The sequence below is a fragment of the Homo sapiens genome, chromosome 10 (assembly GCF_000001405.40).
Source record: "Homo sapiens chromosome 10, GRCh38.p14 Primary Assembly".
Classification (NCBI taxonomy): domain Eukaryota; kingdom Metazoa; phylum Chordata; class Mammalia; order Primates; family Hominidae; genus Homo; species Homo sapiens.
Genome location: NC_000010.11, coordinates 13,769,549 through 13,790,074, shown reverse-complemented (window position 1 = coordinate 13,790,074; position 20,526 = coordinate 13,769,549). Strand labels below are relative to the sequence as shown.

Sequence of the window (20,526 nt, the reverse complement as noted above, 5' to 3'; positions counted from 1 at the left end):
CCATACACAGCCTAATAGTAATTAGGGCTTCCATAAACCTCTCCTGGACTCAAGATCTCCTTGTTCATCTCTGCGTCTGGCCTTGACCCCTTCCAAACTCCCCTATATGAAGACACTGAGCATCTTTCTAGAATTCTCATCTGATCCTTGCTCATAATTTTTTTCCAGCTTCCCATTATCCTCAGAAAAGGACATCTTTAGCGTGACTTGCATGATGTGACTTCTGCTTAACTGTCCAGCCTCACCTCTTCCCACTCCCCTCACCACACAACACACACACACACACACACACACACACACACACATTATAAGCAGCCAGCAGCGGTCAATATATGACCAAGAGCACCTTGAACTGCAAACCATTGTTTAGTGCTATAAGGCTTGGGAACAATGTCTCTCTGATATTGTTCACCAGGCAAGCTTTAGAAATAGGTCAAGAAAAAAATATAAGGAAAATATACACAACCCAAGGAAGTCTGCGTCATGTGTGTGTGTGTGTGTGTGTGTGTGTGTGTGGTCTTTTCATAGGCACAACTTTGTGCTCAGAATGAAGCCTACATGTCTGGATTATTCTTTAATTACATTTTCTTCTACCAAGTGTCCTGTAGTTCTGATCATCTCAACTCCTTGTAAGAAAATAAACAGAGATTAGATTTGCCTCTTCAGAATTTGAGTTTCACAGACAATAAACTGAAGCAAGCAGCAAAAAAATAAGAGAGGAGAAGTCCGATCGGGGAGGAAGGATTTTACAGCCAAGTCCACAGGCCGGATTCTTGGTATCTTCCCTGGCTGATGGAGACAGCAGCTGCTACTTCCTGTCACTCGCAATAACAATGATGGCATGGATCTAAAATGAGGTTCCTGCTAACCAGAACTTGCTATATTTCAGCTAGGTGTCCCAGTTAAGATTTTAGAGGCATTGAGATTCTAAGCATCAGAGGCTTGGCTGCAGAAACTCACAGCTTATTGCTTTCATTATCATGGCTCTTATTTGCCACCAAGAGTAGGCATTTTAAATGTGACATTTGTGTTCATTACAAAATGAAATCACTGGTCCATTTAATTAACACTTGCTGTAAATATTCAGTGATTCCCAAGTGCCCAGGGCTGGATGGGGAAGGGAAAGGGAGAGCAGGGAGAATGGAGGAGGAGACCTGGCTGATGTCATCTGGCTGGGCCCTTGCCATCTGACTAGGCAGTGTTCAGTCTATTGCAACCAGAGGCTTTCACTTGTCAAAGAAGGGGACGGGACTCCCCGAGGCTTTAGAGGCTGTTTAATATTTAATAAGCTCAAACACATAAACACAGAGCACCTATTTCGTTCTCCTTCAGACTCTCTGATAAAATATTCTCGGGTCGGGATCATCTGAGCTAGTTTGGGTGGGCTGTTGCTTGTGGAGTCAGGAAACCTCTTAGCAAGGTCTGCGCTCCATCTAGAGTGTTCCTTTAGACTCAAATAGATGCCCTAAGATTCAGTCCTGCTAAGTGTGCCCCCAAAACCCGTTTAAAATGTAGGTCTGATTATGATTCAGCTGTGGTGAGGCCAGCAGATGAGGAGAGGACAGACATTGAAAAGATTGTCACTCAGTTCCTGGGAGAAGGGGCCACACCATGCCACGCAGGGCCATGTGGGAGGCATTGGGGAGCCGGGAAACAATTGGGCAAGAGCATTTTTTGTGGTTTCTTTGGGGAGGAACGGGCAAGGCTGGGAGAGCAGGCTTGGGATTGGCTAGTTTAAATAATTTCAGCGGGCTCTGCAGCATGGGGGCTGCCCCCTAGTTGTCTGGTACGTGTCCCTAGGGTGGTGAGGGCAGGGAAATAGTGGCCCTGGGTGTGAGAGCCGAGAGGTGGTGGGAGGGGTGGACCCTGGATCCATGGTGACATGTGGAAGTCTTGGGGTCTGGAAATTGGCTAACCCTGGCACCAGCAGTCCCTCCAGGCCCAGCAAGGTCACAGACATCCAAGCATCATAAAGCCATGGTCAATACACAGCCAGACTCGGAACTGTCCATGCAGACCCTCTGAATCCGAGACATAGCCTTCATTTATTTCCCTGGTTACCCAGAGACCTGGAATGTTCTTTGTGAACCCTGGAAGCACTCCCTGCTCCATGCTGGTAGTTAAGGAAATGCAACATTGCCACCTACTGCTGAGGCTCTCCTGAAAATCAGAAAAAGAAGCCACTTTTTTTTTTTTTCTTTTTTTTTGAGACAGATCTGCCTGCCTCGGCCTCCCAAAGTGCTGGGATTACAGGCATGCCCGGCCAAAAACTATGCCCGGCCAAAAACTATGCCCAGCCAAAAACTGGATTAAAAAAAAAAAAGAAGAAGAGGCTGGCCTGTAACCTGAGTACTTTGGGAGGTCAGGGTAGGATAATTACTTGAGCTCAGGAGTTCAAGACCAGCCTGGGCAACATAGTGAGACCCCATCTCGACAGAAAATAAAAAATTAGTCAGCATGGTGGCTTATATCTGTAGTCCCAGCTATCTGGGAGGCTTAGACAGACAGGTCACTTGATCCCAGGAGGTCGAGGCTGCAGTGAACTGTGGTTGCACACTGCACTCCAGCCTGAGTGACAGAGCAAGACCCCATCTCAAAAAGAAAAAAAAGAAAAAAAAATTTTGACTTTGAATCCAAACCCTCAGCCCTCCCCATCTTCCCAGGAGGCTCTTGTCCCTGGTGCCACCGGTGTGCACCATGCCTCTCTGGGCGTGCGGGTGGAGAGGTCTGAGCTCTGTTTCTCTGCAGGCGTTTTTGACTCAGCCGTTCCCTGGCAGGGAGGGAAAGCTCAGGATGAGCTCCATACCCTCCCCTAACAGAACAATGATATGACAGGCCCGGAGCTCACGGGGTTTTCCAGGCTGTCGTCTTGGTGATAAAAGTTAACAGGAAACTGCTTTCCACTTCCGTCGAGAGGAGGTGATTTTTTTTCTCTTCATCTCAGAATATGCGTGTTATTTCCTGTACCTTCTCTGCCCCTTTTATGGCTAGACAACAGAGAGCTTGGTGGAAATGAAGGCAGTCACAGAGATGTAGAATTTGCCACCTCAATTCAGTTTTCCATCATATGAGAGTGGAAACGAAAAGGGAAGCGTTATATTTTCTTAATATACTATTCAGGAGAAAATTGGGGTGGAAGAGGCAGGATGTCTTTACTCTTTACTTTTTAAGAACTAAAGCAAATGAGATTCTTTTAAGAAACATATGGCATTACTTTGAAAATTAAGTTATTTCAGACCTTATATGAATTTAGACTCAAAATCATCATTAGAGCACAAAGGCCACCGTCAACTTCAGGAGGCTTCTGTTAATATTCTGGTGTTAGGATTGCTTTCTCTCTTCCTTGCCTCCCCTTTCTCTCCCTTTCCTCGCTTTTCCTTCTTTTCCTTCCTTTAGTTTCTTTTATTATTCTGCCTACCCTTTGCCAGAGGCCCTTTGCAAAGGATGTAGATTTATTTATTTATTTTTGAGACGGAGTTTCGCTTTTGTTGCCCAGGCTGGAGTGCAATGGCATGATCTCAGCTGACTGCAACCTCCGCCTCCCAGGTTCAAGCGATTCTCCTGCCTCAGCCTCCCAAGTAGCTGGGATTACGGGTGTCCGCCACCACGCCTGGCTAATTTTTTGTATTTTTAGTAGAGACAGGCTTTCACCATGTTGGCCAGGCTGGTCTCGAACTCCTGACCTCAGTTGATCCACACATCTTGGCCTCCCAAAGTGCTGGGATTACAGGCATGAGCTACGATATAGATTTATTTTTTGAAAATCAAATCATTAAAAAGTCAGGAAACAACAGGTGCCGGAGAGGATGTGGAGAAATAGGAACACTTTTACACTGTTGGTGGGACTGTAAACTAGTTCAACCATTGTGGAAGACAGTGTGGCGATTCCTCAAGGATCTAGAATTAGAAATACCATTTGACCCAGCCATCCCATTACTGGGTATATACCTGAAGGATTATAAATCATGCTGCTATAAAGACACATGCACACGTATGTTTATTGTGGCACTATTCACAACAGCAAAGACTTGGAACCAACCCAAATGTCCATCAGTGGTAGACTGGATTAAGAAAATGTGGCACATATACACCATGGAATACTATGCGGCCACAAAAAAGGATGAGTTCATGTGCTTTGTAGGGACATGGATGAAGCTGGAAACCATCATTCTGAGCAAACTGTCACAAGGACAGAAAACCAAACACCACATGTTCTTACTCATAGGTGGCAATTGAACACTGAGAACACTTGGACACAGGGTGGGGAACATCACATACTGGGGCCTGTCGTGGGGTGGGGGGTAGGGGGAGGGATAGCATTAGGAGACATACCTAATGTAAATGACGAGTTAACAGGTGCAGCACACCAACATGGCATATGTATACATACGTAACAAACCTGCACGTTGTGCATGTGTACCCTAGAACTTAAAGTGTAATAAAAAATAATAACAAAATAAAAAGAAATTATAAAAATAAAAAAATTTAAAAAAGAAAATCAAATCATATCAAATTTATTTTGCTTTGAGATGTAAAATTTGCTACTGCAATTTTGCTCTCCATTCTTAAAGAACTAAAAGTTGTTTAACTTTACTGTGCCTCTGAGACCATGGTGGGCCCTATATGAAGACCTTGGTGATATAAGACACCTGCTCCAGAAGCAGGGGGCAGGTGCTTGGCAGGGGCAGGGGTTATGGGCAGAGATCAGCCAGTCCATTAATTTTCAGGCTTTACAAGTATGAGGACCACTGCGTAATTCCTCCAAATTTTGTAGAACCTGAGATGATAAGAATTGTACTAATGATATCTGTGGATTGAGAAAATTTAATGTCTGAAGTTACTCCAAATTCACTCACCAATTTCAAAAAAACTTGAATTGTATTCATCACAGCAGCCTCTGCACACATTTGAAAAATGATAGAAAGCTTTATTTATTTATTTAGTGTGTAGACAAGAGGTTGCAAGCTGGTGGGCCATGGGCTTGATGTAGCCTACAGACGTGGGTTTTTATCTTCATGTTTATGCAACAGTAGCATTATTATCCTTCAGGTATGGTAAAAGATACTTTTTTTTTTTTTTTTTTTGAGATAGAGTCTCCCTCTGTTGTTCAGGCTGGAGTGCAGTGGCACCATCTCGGCTCGCTGCAACCTCCCCCTCCTGGGTTCAAGCGATTCTTCTGCCTCAGCCTCCCAAGTAGCTGGGACTACAGGCACCCACACCCACCCCTGGCTAATTTTTGTATTTTTAGTAGAGACAGGGGTTTCACCATGGTGGCCAGGCTGGTTTCGAACTCCTGACCTCAGGTGATTCCCCCCACCTCAGCCTCCCAAAGTGCTGGGATGACAGGTGTGAGCCACCGCGCCTGGCCAATTATGGATAAATCCTTTTATCTTTTACCATACCTGAAGGATAACGCTACCATTGAGCTTTCCTTTCTAAAAAGACACATGAGGTCCTGTATCTCCAGTGTAGGAACTCTCCTCCTCTTCCATTTCCCAGTGGAATCTAAAAGTATCATTTGAAGCTGGACATTCCAAGTTGTTGCCCCTCAGGTGATTGTATTGATTAGAAGAATTCATTTTTAAATTAATTACTATAAATGAATAGAACTTCTTGAAGCTAAGGGCATCAGTTTGTTCACCTTATACGATGTTGGTCTCTTGTTTTTGCTGCTGCTGTTGTTGTTTACATTGTAGTCAGTTTCCAATATTTAAAAACCAGTGGACTTCTTAGGTAGAGAACCACTTCTTCTTTTACGGTCTGAAGAACAGAAGCCCAGCAGGATGATGTGACTGCCCTGAGTCACACAGAGCTGGGGACTCCATCACTGCTCTCTGACTCCCTCCAGAGGATTCTGGCCCTCAGATTATAACACTATTCTAGAAAACTGTAGTACTTGTTTCTTCTCATTTCACCTTCCTCACCTTCTGCCTCTTCTTGGTGAACCCAGTTTCCAAGAGCCCCAGGTACCCAGCACCCTCCTAGTCCACCCTAAGGGTTGCTACACCTGCTCAGAACCTTCTTCCCTCCAAGATGTTGCATTTCAACCTTTCCCCTCTCTTCCTTTCAACTCCTAGTCCTTCAGTGCGGCTGGTCATTAGACAGTACAAGCGCATTATCTCATTAAAGAATTTAATAAACTCCAAAGTCAATATTATAAAGGCACATTTAGTGTAAACTTAAATAATGGCAGCATGTTTCATCTTGAAAATATCTATAAGCTCCATCTAGATGAAATCCGATTCTCATTTGGCTTAATATGCATTCATATCACAGTGTTAAGAGCACTTAGCATAGCTCTCCGAATGTGCAGAAATCAAATCACACTTCACCACCTTCGGGAGTAGTAGTAACCATTTCAAAGAAAGCTGTGATTAAGAAGAAATTATCTTTTAAAAATCCAACTTGGCTGGGCACAGTGGCTCACATCTATTACCCCAGCATTTCGGGAGGCTGAGGTGGGCAGATAATTTGAGCCCAGCCTGAGCAACAAAGGAAGACTCCGTATCTACAAAAAAAAAAAAAAATTAGGCGTGGTGGTATGCAACTGTAGTCTCAGCTGCTCAGGAAGCTGAGGCGGGAAGGTTGCTTGAGCCTGGGAGGTCAAGGCTGCAGTAAGCCATGCACCACTGCACTCCAGCCTGGACAACAGAGCGAGACCCTGTCTAAAAAAAGAAAAAAAAGGAGAAGAAAAGAAAATCCAACTCAATGACAATTTAGGACAAACAAGCAATGTGATGAAAACAAATAACATTATGTAAAATTATAAAGCAGATAGGACAAAGAAATCAGAGGCCTAGTTTTAGAATTTGTTCTTACAAATTGGTGGTAGACCCAGTTCTTTGGTTATGGTGAGGCCCATTAGGCGTGACCCTAAGCCACTATCAAAACTCCAAAAACAGTTTGTCCTCCCTAGGGAATCATAGAAAAACCATGGATGGTGCCTTTTTCCTTTGTTTATTTAGGATGGGGAATGCCAGCTTTCATCTCAAATCATGTAGCTCAAGAGAGCACTTTATTTTCTGCACCTGCTGTTTCTGTGGTTCACGCACCATTTTTCTCTTTCAGGTTCTATATAGAAAGCATTTCATACCTGAAGGATAATGCTACCATTGAGCTTTTCTTTCTGAACGCGAAGTCCTGCATCTACAAGGTAGGAACTCCCTCTCCCTCAATTTCCCTCTGAAACCTGAAAGTATCATTTGAAGCTGGAAATTCCAAAGTGTTACCCCTTAGGCCATTTTATTGATTAGGAGAAGTCATTTATAAATTAATTACTATAAATAAATGGAATGTTATGAAGCTAACGGCACCATTTAATAATGTGATTCCTGACCCGGCGCGCTGGCTCACGCCTGTAATCCCAACACTTTGGGAGGCCGAGGCGGGTGGATCACGTGGTCAAGAGATTGAGATTATCCTGGCCAACGTGGTGAAACCCTGTCTCTACTAAAAATATAAAAATTAGCTAGGCATGGTGGCACATGCCTGTAGTCCCAGCTACTTGGGAGGGTGAGGCAGGAGAATTGCTTGAACCTGGGAGGTGGAGGTTGCAGTGAGCTAAGATCACGCCACTGCACTCCAGCCTGGTGACAGGCGGAGACTCCATCTCAAAAAAAAAAAAAAGGAATAATAATAATAATAATAATAATGTGATTCCTTTGATCCATGGCTGTGTTTCTGGCTCTGTGGACATGTTTCCTAACCTTATTTTAAAGGTCTCCTGATTTTAAAGATTTCTTTGTCAACTGAGACAAAGGTGAAAAGCCTAGACAAGTATGACAAATGCACCAGTCAACTTAGACAGGTCTTGCAGATAGGAATGAGCTTCTTATAACCAAATACGTGTATATTTGACCATTTTTAGTTGGTCTAGCAGCATCTTTCAAAGGGACGCTATTGTCACTTTGAGACAGTTTCTTTTTTAAAAAAAATTGTAAAATGCACATACATTTACTATCTTAACCATTTTGGAAAATATTTTTATATTTCCATAGGTTTTTGGGGAACAGGTGGTATTTAGTTACATGAGTAAGTTCTTTAGTTGTGATTTGTGAGAATTTGGTGCACCCTTCACTCGAGCAGCATACACGGAAGTCAGTTTGTAGTCTCCGCCATTTTTAAGTGTGCAGTTCAGCGGCATTCAGTACACTCACAATGTTGTATAACCATCCCCACCGTCATTCACCCAAGAGCTCTTTTCATCTGCTAAACTGAAACTCTGTACTCATTAAACAACTTCCCCTTCCCCGTTTTCCTCAGCCACTGGCAACCACTACTTTTTGTCTCCATGAATTTAACCACTCTAGTACTTCATATAAGTGGAATCATATATATTTGTCCTTTTGTGTCTGGCTTACTTTACCTAGCATAATGGCCTCAAGGTTCATCCATGTTGGCTGTGTGTGGTGGCTCATGCCTGTAATCCCAGCACTTTGGGAGGCCGAGGCAGGCGGATCACCTGAGGTCAGGAGTTTGAGACTAGCCTGGCCAACATGGCGGAACCCCATCTCTATTAAAAATACAAAAATTAGCCAGATGTGGTGTTTTGTGTCTGTGATTCTAGGTATTTGGGAGGCTGAGGCAGGAAAATCTCTTGAACCTGGGAGGTGGAGGTTACAGTGAGCCGAGATCATACCACTGCACTCCAGCCTGGGCAACAGAGCAAAACTCTGTCTCAGAAAAAAAAAAAAAAAAAAAAAAAAAGGTTCATCCATGTTGTAGCGTGTATCAGAATTTCCTTCCTTTTTTTTTTTTTTTTTTTTTTTAATTTTTAAGACAGGGTCTCTCTCGCCCAGGCTGGAGTTCAGTGGTGCAATCTTGGCTCACTGCAACCTCCACCTTCTGGGTTCAAGTGATCCTCCTACTTCACCCTCCTAAGTAGCTGGGACTACAGGTGTGTGCCACCTCACCCAGCTAATTTTTGTATTTGTTTATGGAGACAGGGTTTCACCATGTTGGCCAGGCTGGTCTCAAACTCCTGGGCTCAGGTGATCTGCCTGCCTTGGCCTTCCAAAGTGCTGGGATTACAGAAGTGGGCCACCACGCTTGGCTGCCTTCCTTTTTAAGGCTAAATAACATTTTATTGTCTGTGTAGATCACCTTTTGTTGATCCATTCATACATCAAAAGGCACGGGTTATTTCCAAAACCTTTTGCCTATCATGAATAATGCTGTTATGAACATGGATGTCTAAATATCTCCTCGAGACCCTATTCCCAGTTGTTCAGGGTATATACCTATAGGTGGTATTGCCAGATCATAGGGTACTTCTATTTTTCATTTTTTGAGGAGCCATCCCTACTGTTTTCCATAGCAGCTGCACCATTTTACATTTCTACCAACAGTGCCCAAGGGTTCCAGTTTCTCCACATCCTCTCCAACATTTGTTATTTTCTATTTTGCTTTATTAAATTGATGACCATCCCAATGGGTGTGAGGTGTATCTCATTGTGGTTTTGATTTGCGTTTCCCTGTAGACTAGTGATGTTGAGCATATGTCCGCATGCTGTTGGCCATTTGTGTATCTTCTTTACAAAAATGTTTGTTCAAGAGATGATTCCTAATTGAGAGCGACAGCCCCTTGTCCTGTATCCAATTGCTCCATAAGCTTGTAGTGTCTCCTTTTGTGGGATGACCCAAAATGCCTACACCCCTTTACAGCACACACCTCCTCCCGGGGAAGATGGACTTGCGGAATATCACTGAGGTTAGGAACTGCGACTAAAAGAACATTTTTTTTTTTTTTGAGACACAGTCTCACTCTGTTGCCCAGGCTGGAGTACAATGGCACAATCTCAGCTCACTGCAGCCTCCGCCTCCCAGGTTCAAGCGATTCTCCCGCCTCAGCCTCCCGAGTAACTGGGATTACAGGTGTGCACCACCACGCTTGGCTAGTTTTTGTATTTTTAATAGAGATGGGGTTTTGCCATGTTGCCCAGGCTGGTCTCAAACTCCTGACCTCAAGTTGATCCATCCACCTTGGCCTCCCAAAGTGTTGGGATTACAGGTGTGAGCCACCTTGCCCGGCCCTAAAAGAACATTTTAAAAAAGAAACACCCACTCCACTGGCTACCCCCGGCATGCACATAACGAATGCAATGAATGTCTCATGAATGCAATCTCCGTCACACCCCCTTAGGGCTGCTCATTAACAGTAATAGACAAGAACGGTTCATTCCTACAAAGTTCACATGATGTGTAGGCTTGTTGCTGAGTGCTTTATGTGAATTGTTTAACTGAGTCTTCACAACGCCTTTTGAGATAGACACTGCTTTTTTTTTTTTGAGAGTGAATTTTGCATAAGTTTATTGATGGTAATTAATTTGGAGGCCAAAATGCATTCTACCTTGAAATAAATCAAATAATACTAAACCTAGGATTTCCCCTTACTCTAAAAATGTAATTAACAAGAAGCGGAAGAGTTTGAGGTATACACCAGCTGACTAATGTAGGGCCACAGAAAGCAAATTAACAGATGTTTTTCTGAATTCACAGCTTAAGTTCTACCTCTTACCTGGGTAAAATGTCAGGGACTCGTCTGAAGTCCTGAAGTGTGAGGATTAGTTAGAATAAAAGTTCTACTAAGGAATTTAAGGGTAGTGCATTCAGTCAGGGCAAATTCCAGATGGACAAACCAGAGAACTTTCAAGTGAAGATTTGATGGGTTTAGCCATTCCTGTGATCTCAGTAAGGAATTTTCTCTTGGTTGTCAGAACATTGATGGAAGATTAAATAAGTCTTTTTTTTTTTTTTCTTGGAGATGGAGTCTCACTCTGTAGCCCAGGCTGTAGTGTAATGGCATAATCTCGGCTCACTGCAACCTCTGCCTCCTGGGTTCAAGCGATTCTCTGCCTCGGCCTCCTGAGCAGGTGGAATTATAGGCACCAGCCATCACACCTGGCTAATTTTTGTATTTTTAGTAGAGATGGGGTTTCACCGTGTTAGTCAGGCCGGTCTCGAACGCCTGACCTCATGATCCACCCACCTTGGCCTCCCAAAGGGCTGAGATTACAGGCATGAGCCACCACACCCAGCCAATTCTTTTTTTAAATAAATAAATAAATAAATGTAAAGCCCAGAGTGTCCTGAATTTTCTAAAAAGTGTTTTATTATTATTATACTTTAAGTTCTGGGATACACATGCAGAATGTGCAGGTTTGTTACATAGGTATACATGTGCCATGATGGTTTGCTGCACCCATCAACCCAAGAGATAGATGCAGCCTTTTATCCCTGTTTTCCCAGTGAATGAAGATGAGATCACATGCCTAATGAATGGCCAGGCTATGGTGCACCCTGGAGGGAGGCTCTCCTCGTGCGCTTGTCTGTGAGGTGTTCGATGGATGGATTCAAAGGAGTCTAGGGAGATACCGCTGCCTGGATTTTAAAATGTAATTAAACTCAGGCCCTAGGGATTGCAAAAACCCATTAAACCTTAACACACACACAAACACACACACACACACACACACACGTTGGAATGGTAGTATCAGCCATCACTTTCCTTCTGTAACTACCTCAACACATTCACTGCACAGAATAGTTCCACCAATTACAAATGTTCAGAATAACGGAGGGCCTGGTAATGATCAAATTCAGTTCTGTGAAAAGACCTCATTTTGGGACAGTTGCTGAGCCAGGACTTAAACTGGGCTCAAACCCAGCACACTAAGAGGACAGCATTTTGGGGTTTTGCCGAATGGAGGGAAAAGATACCATAATGCAGTTCCAGGTACTTTTAGATTCTTTCCTCTAAGACCCCACTTTCTCATTATAAAGTGGAAATAATAATACTGAACTTACATACAGATTGTAAGAGTATCAGGTTTTTTTTTTAAATAAATGTGAAAGCGCTTTGAAACCAAGTTCAGAAATGAAAGGTGAGCAGTCTCCACCAGGTGGCAGCCTTGGGCAGCGAAGTAAATGCATGGCAAGGCTGAATCCGCGAAATCACTCTCCAGCAGGGCAAGTAAAAAATTGTCCCCGGCCCACGCCTGTAATCCCAGCACTTTGGGAGGCAGAGGCGGGTGGATCAAGAGGTCAGGAGTTCGAGACCAGCCTGACCAACATGGTGAGATGCCATCTCTACTAAAAATACAAAAGTTAGCCGGGCGTGGTGGCAGGCGCCTGTAATCCCAGCTACTCGGGAGGCTCACTCAGGAGAATTGCTTGAGCGAACCCGGGAGGCTGAGGTTGCAGTAAGCCGAGATCGCACCATTGCACTCCAGCCTGGGTGCCAGAGCGAGACTCCGTCTCAAAAAAAAAAAAAAAAAAAAAAAAATTGACCCAAAGCCTACTTGGGCAGACGCTTGGGGAAAGGGAGAGGAGTTGCGTTCAGTACTGTCTTGTCCCAAATGCTGAGCTGGCACTGAAGGCCTCTGAACATCATGCACGCCTAGGACTTTGCGATTCAGGGAAAATTAAAAAGAATAAATGTCAGAACTAAATACTACAGATGCCCTGAGTGGAGGTGATGACACCTTTGCAGCCAGCCACATTTAGGTTCAAGGTCCCGACAGCATCAGCCCACATGCTGAATGTCACTCCAGAACCCAGCCCTCTCTTCTCAAAATCTTTCCTTGGGCTTGGGCACATAAATGACCACAAATGACCAAGGGACAGCATCTTTCAAGTTGATATAGGAGACCAAGTCGCATCCCAAGGCCCCCTGTCTCCCTCCTGTGATCAAGAATAATATTTTCATTTGTACAAATTGCCATTTAAATTTTTTATATATACTATGATATTTGAGCCTCAGCATCTCTGCGTGAGATGGAGCGAGAATCGCTGGCTTTCCAGAGGAGGAAGTAGGTACAGAGAGGCTAAGTGACTCAGAGACAAAGGACTGGGGGATGGCTGGATAGCCTGTGTAACCTGTGTCAGTGTAAAGATCATGAAAGGCACTGCTGAGTGGTTGACAGTTCAGCTTTTGCTGCCGGGCAGACCCAGGTTCTTTTCCCAGGCATGCCCCTTGGTAAAAGGGATAAATGTGGGCACCTCCTGTAACGTCTCCAAGCTTCCCTTTCCTCTCTAATTGAGCAAGGATGTTATAAGGCTCTAACCACAACCTTCTTGGGAAGATTCAGTGAGATAAAGCATGCAAAGTTCTTAGTCCCATGCCAGGCATGTGATTAGCTCGTTGGATTTAGACCCGAGTTTTTTTCTCTTGGCTGTGATTCTCTTTGTGCCACCCACACAGCCCCCTGGTGCTTTGGGGACCTTGAAGAGCCCAGAGGGTAGTGTTAGACCCAGATAACCCATCCCGATGCTGATACCCGGATGCCTGGGTTTACCCAGCGTAGGTTTAGTATCTGCTCCCTCCCTGTCTCTTGGGGAACGGTTCCTACTGTATGTTAAAATCTAAGTTGTCAAGGTAAAATAAGCCGCTTATTTCTGCTTTTTCAAAGTTCAATTTCATTCACTTTTTAAAGTATTAATATTTGTTTCTATCAAAGTAATAGATGACATCATTTAAAAGTCAAATGGTTCCACAAGGCTGATTATGACAAACAGCTTCCTCCCTGCAACTCCTGCCACTTGCAACAGTTTTAGCTGTTTCTTCTAGTATTTGCCTCCATATAGATAAATAATTGACACAGGGCATTATTCCTTGATTGATTCACTTTTAGGTTGTTGAATTCCTGTTAAAAATGGATGAAGACGGCCAGGCACAGTGGTTCACACCTATAATACCAGCACTTTGGGAGGCTGAGGTGGGAGGATCACTTGATCTTAGGAGCTTGAGACCAGCCTGGGCAACCTAGTGAGATCCCATCTCTACAAAAAACACAAAAATTAGTCGGGTGTGGTGGCACATGCCTGCAGTCCCAGCTTCTCTGGAGGCTGAGGTGGGAGGATTGCCTGAGCCCCAAAGGCGGAGGTTGCAGTGAGTCCAAGAGTCCAGATCACACTACTGCACTCCAGCCCGGTGGACAGAGCGAGACTTTGTCACAAAGAAAAAAAAAATAAGGATGTAGATTTAGATTATAACCACCCACATTTTATTTCCTTTTCCATTTTCTTAGTATGGTGATAGCATAATTCTGGCTTAAAGCCGTAGTCATAAGCATGACATTATCGTGACTAATCCAAGTAGTATCCTGTGGTTGCAGCTCGTTTTTTAGACAACCCATTGTTTTACCCAAAGGGAATACTTGCCTTGCTTTCACTTATTTAGTTACTACATACCCTTCACTTTTCTCCCAAAAGTTCCTACAGATTCTCAGATGTCTACCAATATTAATTTCCAGCTACGTCGGGTAGTTCTCGTTCCTCTTTGGTTTGATTTTGGTTGCTGTGGCAGCTGCTACTGCTGTTGTTTTTCCAGGACCTCCCTCTTAGACTCCTCCAACCTCCTGCTCCAGCCTGGACTTGGTCTCATGCAGAGTCTCAACCCGGGATGCCGCATCCCCATCAGGGTCTTTCCTTCTCCCTCGTTCTGTATTGGGTCCTCTCTTTCCCGGATCCGGAGTCTTCCTGTTTTTTGTTTTACACCATTGTTTCGCTGGAGAACATCCTGCAATCAATCCAGAGAAAGCGCATATGGGAAGTAAAATGTTTGGATACTGGCATATCTGAAAAAGTCTTTATTCTAGCTTTGTATCTAATGAATAGTTTGACTGGATATAGAAATATACAAAAAAAAAATTTCTCTCAGAATACCAAAGGCGTTGCTCTGGAAAAGCCCACCATCCTATCCATTGTATGTGACACCCCCTTGGGCTCCCCAACAATGGGATCCTTTGGGAACTCCTTTTTGCTCCTTCTGATCTAAAATTTCAGGATGGGTGCCCTGATGTGGGTCTTTGTAAATCCATTGTACTCTGTGTTCGATGGGCACTTTTAGTCTGGAGACGTGACATGCATTCTTTTTTAGTTGTGAGGTTCTTTTTGGATTGTTTCTTTGACATCTTCTCCCCTCTTGCCTGTGTCCTCTCTTTCCAGAATTCCTATTTATCAAATGCTGGGCATGGCCTCCCACTCCTATACTTGTCTCTCCAGCTGTCTATCTCTGTCTTTTTATTCTACTTTCTGGGAGGCTTTGTCAGTATTTACTTTAATCTCTTCTCTGGACTTTCTAACCTTTGCCATTATGGTTTTGTTTTTTGTTGTTTTTTTTTTTCTTAAATTTCTAAGAGTTTCTTTATATTATCTGATTTTTTAATATTATGCTATTATTGTTTCAGGAACATAATATCCTCTCTTATCACTCTGATAATATTAGTTATCATTATTATTCTATGTTTCCTTCCAGCTCTTTTTTTCCAGTTTATTTGTGTTGGTCTCTCTTTCCTGTACGAGGCTTCCTCAGTTGTCTGCTGGCCCTGGTCTGTTGCTTCACACTTAGAAACTAAGCAGATGCTCCATTTCAGGGTGGGATGGTCCCCCAGTGGGTGTCCCTGTGACGTGATCCCGTCGCAAGCTGGTTCTTTCCCTGGGGAACCCCGAATATCAGTGTCTTGGTATCTGGACATCTTTCCTCTCTGGCTCTCCATTCTCTCCAGAAAAAACCCTTCCCTTCCTGCCTGGGACATGTCCTCCCACATCCAGGGATCGGGAGGGAACAGTCTCCACACTGGGTATAGAATTCCATGTAATTCCTGCACTTCCGGTCCACTTCATCCCTGCTTCCTGTTCTTCTTCAGAGAACGAACCTCTCATCTCTTTAATAGCAGAAAGGCGAGGAAAGGTGTTTGGCTTTGTTTTGCTATTTTTCCCAAACTGTGAACACTGCCTTCCTACCTTCCTCTCTCTTTCCCAGCAGGCAGGAGGCATGGCCACAGCAGACGCCCCTCTCACTTTCTCTTCCCTTCCACCCCCCTACTTTATACAATAGAGCAGGAAAATGTAGTCATAATCTATCCAAGTTGCAGAAAATTAAAATATGGATATGAGACAGCGGGGCTGTCATTGTGTGCTTCCGGTGGAGCAGGAGGAAGTGTGGAATAGGATTCCTACATGGTCCAACAGTGTTTCTGATGTGCTTGAACTCACTAAGGAGACAGGTGGGTGATAGAGAGGACATTGGCCAGGGCGTGGATACATCTCATTTAGAAATGTGAGTCCCGTCCCATGGGAAACTCTCACAGGAAGCCTGCCTGGAACGTTGCGTGTTCCCTGGAAAGAGACCAATAAGACGGCACAGCTTTCCCGCCAAGCCTTTTCCATCTGCTCCTCTCCCTCTTCCGGTGTGGCTTCCAACAGCCAACTGAAGGTGCCCATCCATCAGCCCCTGCAGGAGGCAGCGGACTTGTCCCATGAGACAGGAGCGAGTCAGGGAATGTGGACCCTCAGCTCTTCCCGCACTTTCTGGCTGCAGGATTGAATCCTGCCTATTCTGGGTTCTGCACTGACAGAAGAAGATGATCCACCATCAAAAATTAGTCATCACAGTGATGTCTGAAAGCTTTGCAAACATAGGTCGTAAAATGACAGAGTCTGTTTAGTTTTTTTATCAGAAAGATTTCCACAAATTATACATCTTACAGCTATAAGAGAAATCAAGAAATCACCAGCTCCCAATCTTCTTTACATGCAAACCTTCAGAGAGAAAAGAAAATTGGTGCTCATGTCGAAAGACCTTTCCATTCAGTTCCTCAGAGAAGTACTTTGATAGTTCCTTGATTGAGGTTAGGTGGCGTGAGTGGCTGTCAGAATGCCTAGATGCACCATCAGTATCATCCAAAAGGCCACCGAGGTGGCTAACTAGGAGAAAGGGCTGTATTGGCAGTACCGGTTTGCAAGCTGAGAAGAGAAAGTCTCCAGCGTGGACTGAAGGTGCTCTTTTTGAAAAGGAGAAGGGCAGGTCGGGTTTTATGACTCACGGTGTTCTTATTACATAATAGAGTCATACACATTCAGCAGGTTTGGGGAAAAGTTATGCATAGTTACGAAGGAGTGTCGAGTGTGTGTGCCATAGGTAGACATATTGGTGACATACTTACCATGTTTACTTTGGTTTTTTAAATTTTTAATTGTTGTGGGTACATAGTAGGTGTCTATATTTATGGGGTACATAAGATATTTTGATACAGGCATGTAATGTGTAATAACCACATCAGGGCAAATGGGGTATCCACCCCCTCAAGCATTTATCCTTTGTGTTACAAACAATCCACTTCTACTCTTTTACTTACATTAAAATGTACAATTCAATCATTATTGACCACAGTTACCCTGTTGTGCTATCAAATACTAGGTCTTATTCATTCTTTCTATTTTTGTGTACCCATTAACGATCCCCACCTCTCCCACCCTCACTACCCTTTCCAACCTCTGGTAACCATCCTTCTATTCTGTCTCCATGAGTTCAATGGTTTTCATTTTTAGCTCCCACAAATAAGTGAGAAAATATGAACTTTGTCTTTCTGTGCCTGGCCTATTTCACTTTACATCATGACCTCCCATTCCTTCCTGGGATGGCTTTTAGCATTAAAATGAGGTGGAATTTGAGGCGCTTTACCTCACCAGGTGAACTATAGGACACAAAGATGGTTTGTGTGCAGCCTCTGCGAACTGCTGAAACTGGCCTAAAGTCTACAGTAGCTCCTCAGAAGAGAATGTTTGTAAGGCTGGCCCTCTGTCCAGTCAGAGTTGTAATGGTCTGGGTTGTAAACCAGCATTGACAGCTCCTATTGGTAGAGAGTTTAGCCACAGAAATTGAGAAATTTGCTAGGCCAGCTGGCCCTGAACCCTCGACCTGTAGGTAACTTAACCTTAGAGTCTGGTGTAGTTGATAAAGGGGCATCTATTCTGGTCTCTAAGATTACATCAGGAATCTAATATTTCACCTGTATAAGTTTGCCCTTGCCCAAAGGGATTAGCTATGAACTCTTTATTTATTTATTATATAATAATAATAAATAAATATTTATTATTATATAATAATTATATATAATATAATATATTATATATTATATATCTTTATTATATATTATATAATATATATATTTTTTTGAGGCGGAGTCTTGCTCAGTCACCCAGGCTGGAGTGCGGTGACGTGATCTCAGCTCACTGCAACCTCTGCCTCCTGGGTTCATGCAATTCTCTTGCCTCAGCCTCCCAAGTAGCTGGGACTACTATGGGCATGCGACACCACACCCAGCTAATTTGTTTTTTTTGTGTGTTTTGTTTTGTTTTGTTTGGTTTTGTTTCAAAGTGAAACAGGGTTTCACCATGTTGCCCAGGCTGGTCTTGAACTCCAGGGCTCCAGTGATCCTCCTTCCTTGGCCTCCTAAAGTGCTGAGATTACAGGCGTGAGCCACCGCACCCAGCTGGCAATGCACTCTTTAGGGACATTCATCACATTTCAATTATGCTTCGTCTAAAAGCACTAACCTTCCCCAGCAGTGATAACCAAAGAAACAGGACTGTGCTTGCCATCTGGAGATGGGCTGAAATATGCTTCTTTAGGCTGGAGGAGAAGTTGGTACCAGCATTTTTCTGAGTGGATTTTTAAGCTCATCTTCCATGGCCTATCACTGTACTAGGCACATAGCCGATGCTCAGAAAATTATTTTTTAATTGGTTACTTTCCAAGGGAGCAAGGATTTGCATATTTCCTGAGAAATCACCGAGTTTTGTTGCCTACACTGCACTGAGAACAAATCATGACATAAAGGAAAAGGCTTAAAATTTCTGCTTTATGGGTGTTCTTGGGAGGGTGCAGATCTTGTCCAAATTGGTCTGGGAGCCTCTGCTGGCCAGGCGTGGTGGCTCATACCTATAATCCCAGCACTTTGGGAGGCCAAGGCAGTTGGCTTGAGGCCAGGAGTTTGAGATCAGCCTGGGCAACATAGCAAGACCCCAACCCTACAAAAAAATATATTTAATTAGCCAGGCATGGTGGCACACATTTGTAGTCCCAACTACTTGGGAAGCTGAGATGGGAGGATCACTTGAGCCCACAAGTTCGAGGCTGAAGTGAGCTAGGATGACACTGGGGCATTCCAGCCTGGATGACAGAGAACTCATCTCTTAAAAAAAAATGGAGTTTAAGTAATCATCCTTGGGCCACATTTGCAGTTTAGGTCTAAATGCTATCACTCTTGTTGATATTGAAATAAATGGTCTTTATTCAATACCTTCAACATGCTTTGCTAATGATCAGATGACGTCATCTCATCTGTAGGTGGGAGAACCAAGCCAAAGCCCAGAATCACATTCTAGAGGACAACATAAATATCTGCAGGTTTAGAGCATGCCCTTGTAGGACAGAGGGGGTATGAGAGAAGGACAGACAGGTACCTTCTTTTTCAACTTTCAAGAAACAAGCTTACATGGATCTGTCGTCTTGGCTGTGCCCATGATCTCTAAAAGAATGATTCCAGGCCAGGAATCAGTAGCTCACAGCTGTAATCCCAACACTTTGGGAGGCCAAGGCAGGAGGATTACTTGAGCCCAGGAGTTCAAGACCAACCTGAGAAACATAGTGAGACCCCCATCTCTACAAAAAAACTAAAATTAGCTAAGCACGGTGGTGTGTGCCTGTGGTCCCAGCTACCCAGGAGGCTGAGGCAGGAGGATCACTTGAGCTCAGGAGTTCAAGGCTGCAGTGAACTATGATGGTGCCACTGCACTCCATCCTGGGCAACAGAGCAAGACCCTGTCTCAACAAAAATAAATAAATAAAAGTAAAAATTATTTAAAATATAAGTTAATAAAAGAACGATTCCTTGAGATCCTGACATGGGCTGTCTGCGGTGGGGTGGACAGCATGAGAAATCCCAACGCGGCAGAGTTAGGGTTGCGGCTGAGCATGAGTGGCATTCACCTCGTGGATCATTAGACAAACATGAAGTGACTTGATGCTGAAAAACTGGCAGAGGACTAAGAATGAGGAATTGTGCGAGATCGCATCAGTCTCATCCTGCACCACAGCCCCTGTTTGCCCCGGGGGCAAATTTGCGTAATTATGATGAGTTGTGCAATGAGGCATAGAGCCACAAGAAGAGAGCAAGTTGGGCTAAATATGGGCATTGTGTCCCACTTTAATGATATACGGTGTATTAGTCAGAGGGACAGAACCGATAGGATATATATAGATATACAGAAAGAGACTTCTTATGAGGAGTTGGCTCACAAGATCATGGGGGCTGAGAGATCCCACAGTCTGCTGTCTGCAAGCTGGAGACCCAGGAAAGCCAGTGGTGTCAGTCCACTGGCTGAGTCCAAAGACCTGAGAACCAGGGAGCCAGTGGTATAAGTCCCAGTCCAAGGACAAGAGAAGATGAAATGTGATGTCCCAGCTCAAAAAGCAAGGGACAAAAAGAAAGAAAGAAAAATGAAAAAAGGGGCAAGCTCCTCCACCCTCCATCTTTTGTTCTATTCAAGCCTTCCAGGATTGTGTGATGTCCACCCACACTGGGGAGGGTGGTCTATTGAGTCCACTGATTCAAATGCTGATCTCATCCAGAAACACCCTCGTAGACACATCCAGAAACTGTTTAATCTGGGCAACTCGGGGCCGGACACAGTGGCTCATGCCTGTAATCCCAGCACTTTGGGAGGCCGAGGTGGGTGGAT

At 44.0% G+C, this 20,526-nt stretch overlaps 1 protein-coding gene across 3 annotated transcripts in view, besides 3 other annotated features; it reads left to right on the top strand.

Annotated features, from left to right (window-relative positions):
* FRMD4A (FERM domain containing 4A) overlaps positions 1 to 20,526 on the top strand; it is a 687,219-nt gene that overhangs the window by 540,850 nt on the left and 125,843 nt on the right. For all 3 annotated transcript variants that reach the window (NM_018027.5, NM_001318336.2, NM_001318337.2), the window contains one exon: positions 7,069 to 7,153. In NM_018027.5, coding sequence (NP_060497.3) covers positions 7,069 to 7,153 — 85 coding nt within the window. The remainder of the gene's footprint in view (positions 1 to 7,068; positions 7,154 to 20,526) is intronic.
* Positions 1,176 to 1,766: an enhancer, noted in NCBI's record as "H3K27ac-H3K4me1 hESC enhancer chr10:13830309-13830899 (GRCh37/hg19 assembly coordinates)". NCBI's record gives its function as "activates a minimal SCP1, AML or CMV promoter by ChIP-STARR-seq in primed H9 embryonic stem cells {active_cell/tissue: H9 hESC(primed)}" and the evidence as "EXISTENCE:reporter gene assay evidence [ECO:0000049][PMID:30033119]".
* Positions 2,582 to 2,631: an enhancer, noted in NCBI's record as "active region_3066". NCBI's record gives its function as "activates an Ori minimal core promoter by ATAC-STARR-seq in GM12878 lymphoblastoid cells {active_cell/tissue: GM12878}" and the evidence as "EXISTENCE:reporter gene assay evidence [ECO:0000049][PMID:35858748]".
* Positions 14,680 to 14,849: an enhancer, noted in NCBI's record as "experimental_11339 CRE fragment used in MPRA reporter constructs". NCBI's record gives its function as "activates a minimal promoter by MPRAs in K562 erythroleukemia cells, with activity observed for both the introgressed and non-introgressed 10:13817311 variant alleles {active_cell/tissue: K562}" and the evidence as "EXISTENCE:reporter gene assay evidence [ECO:0000049][PMID:34662402]".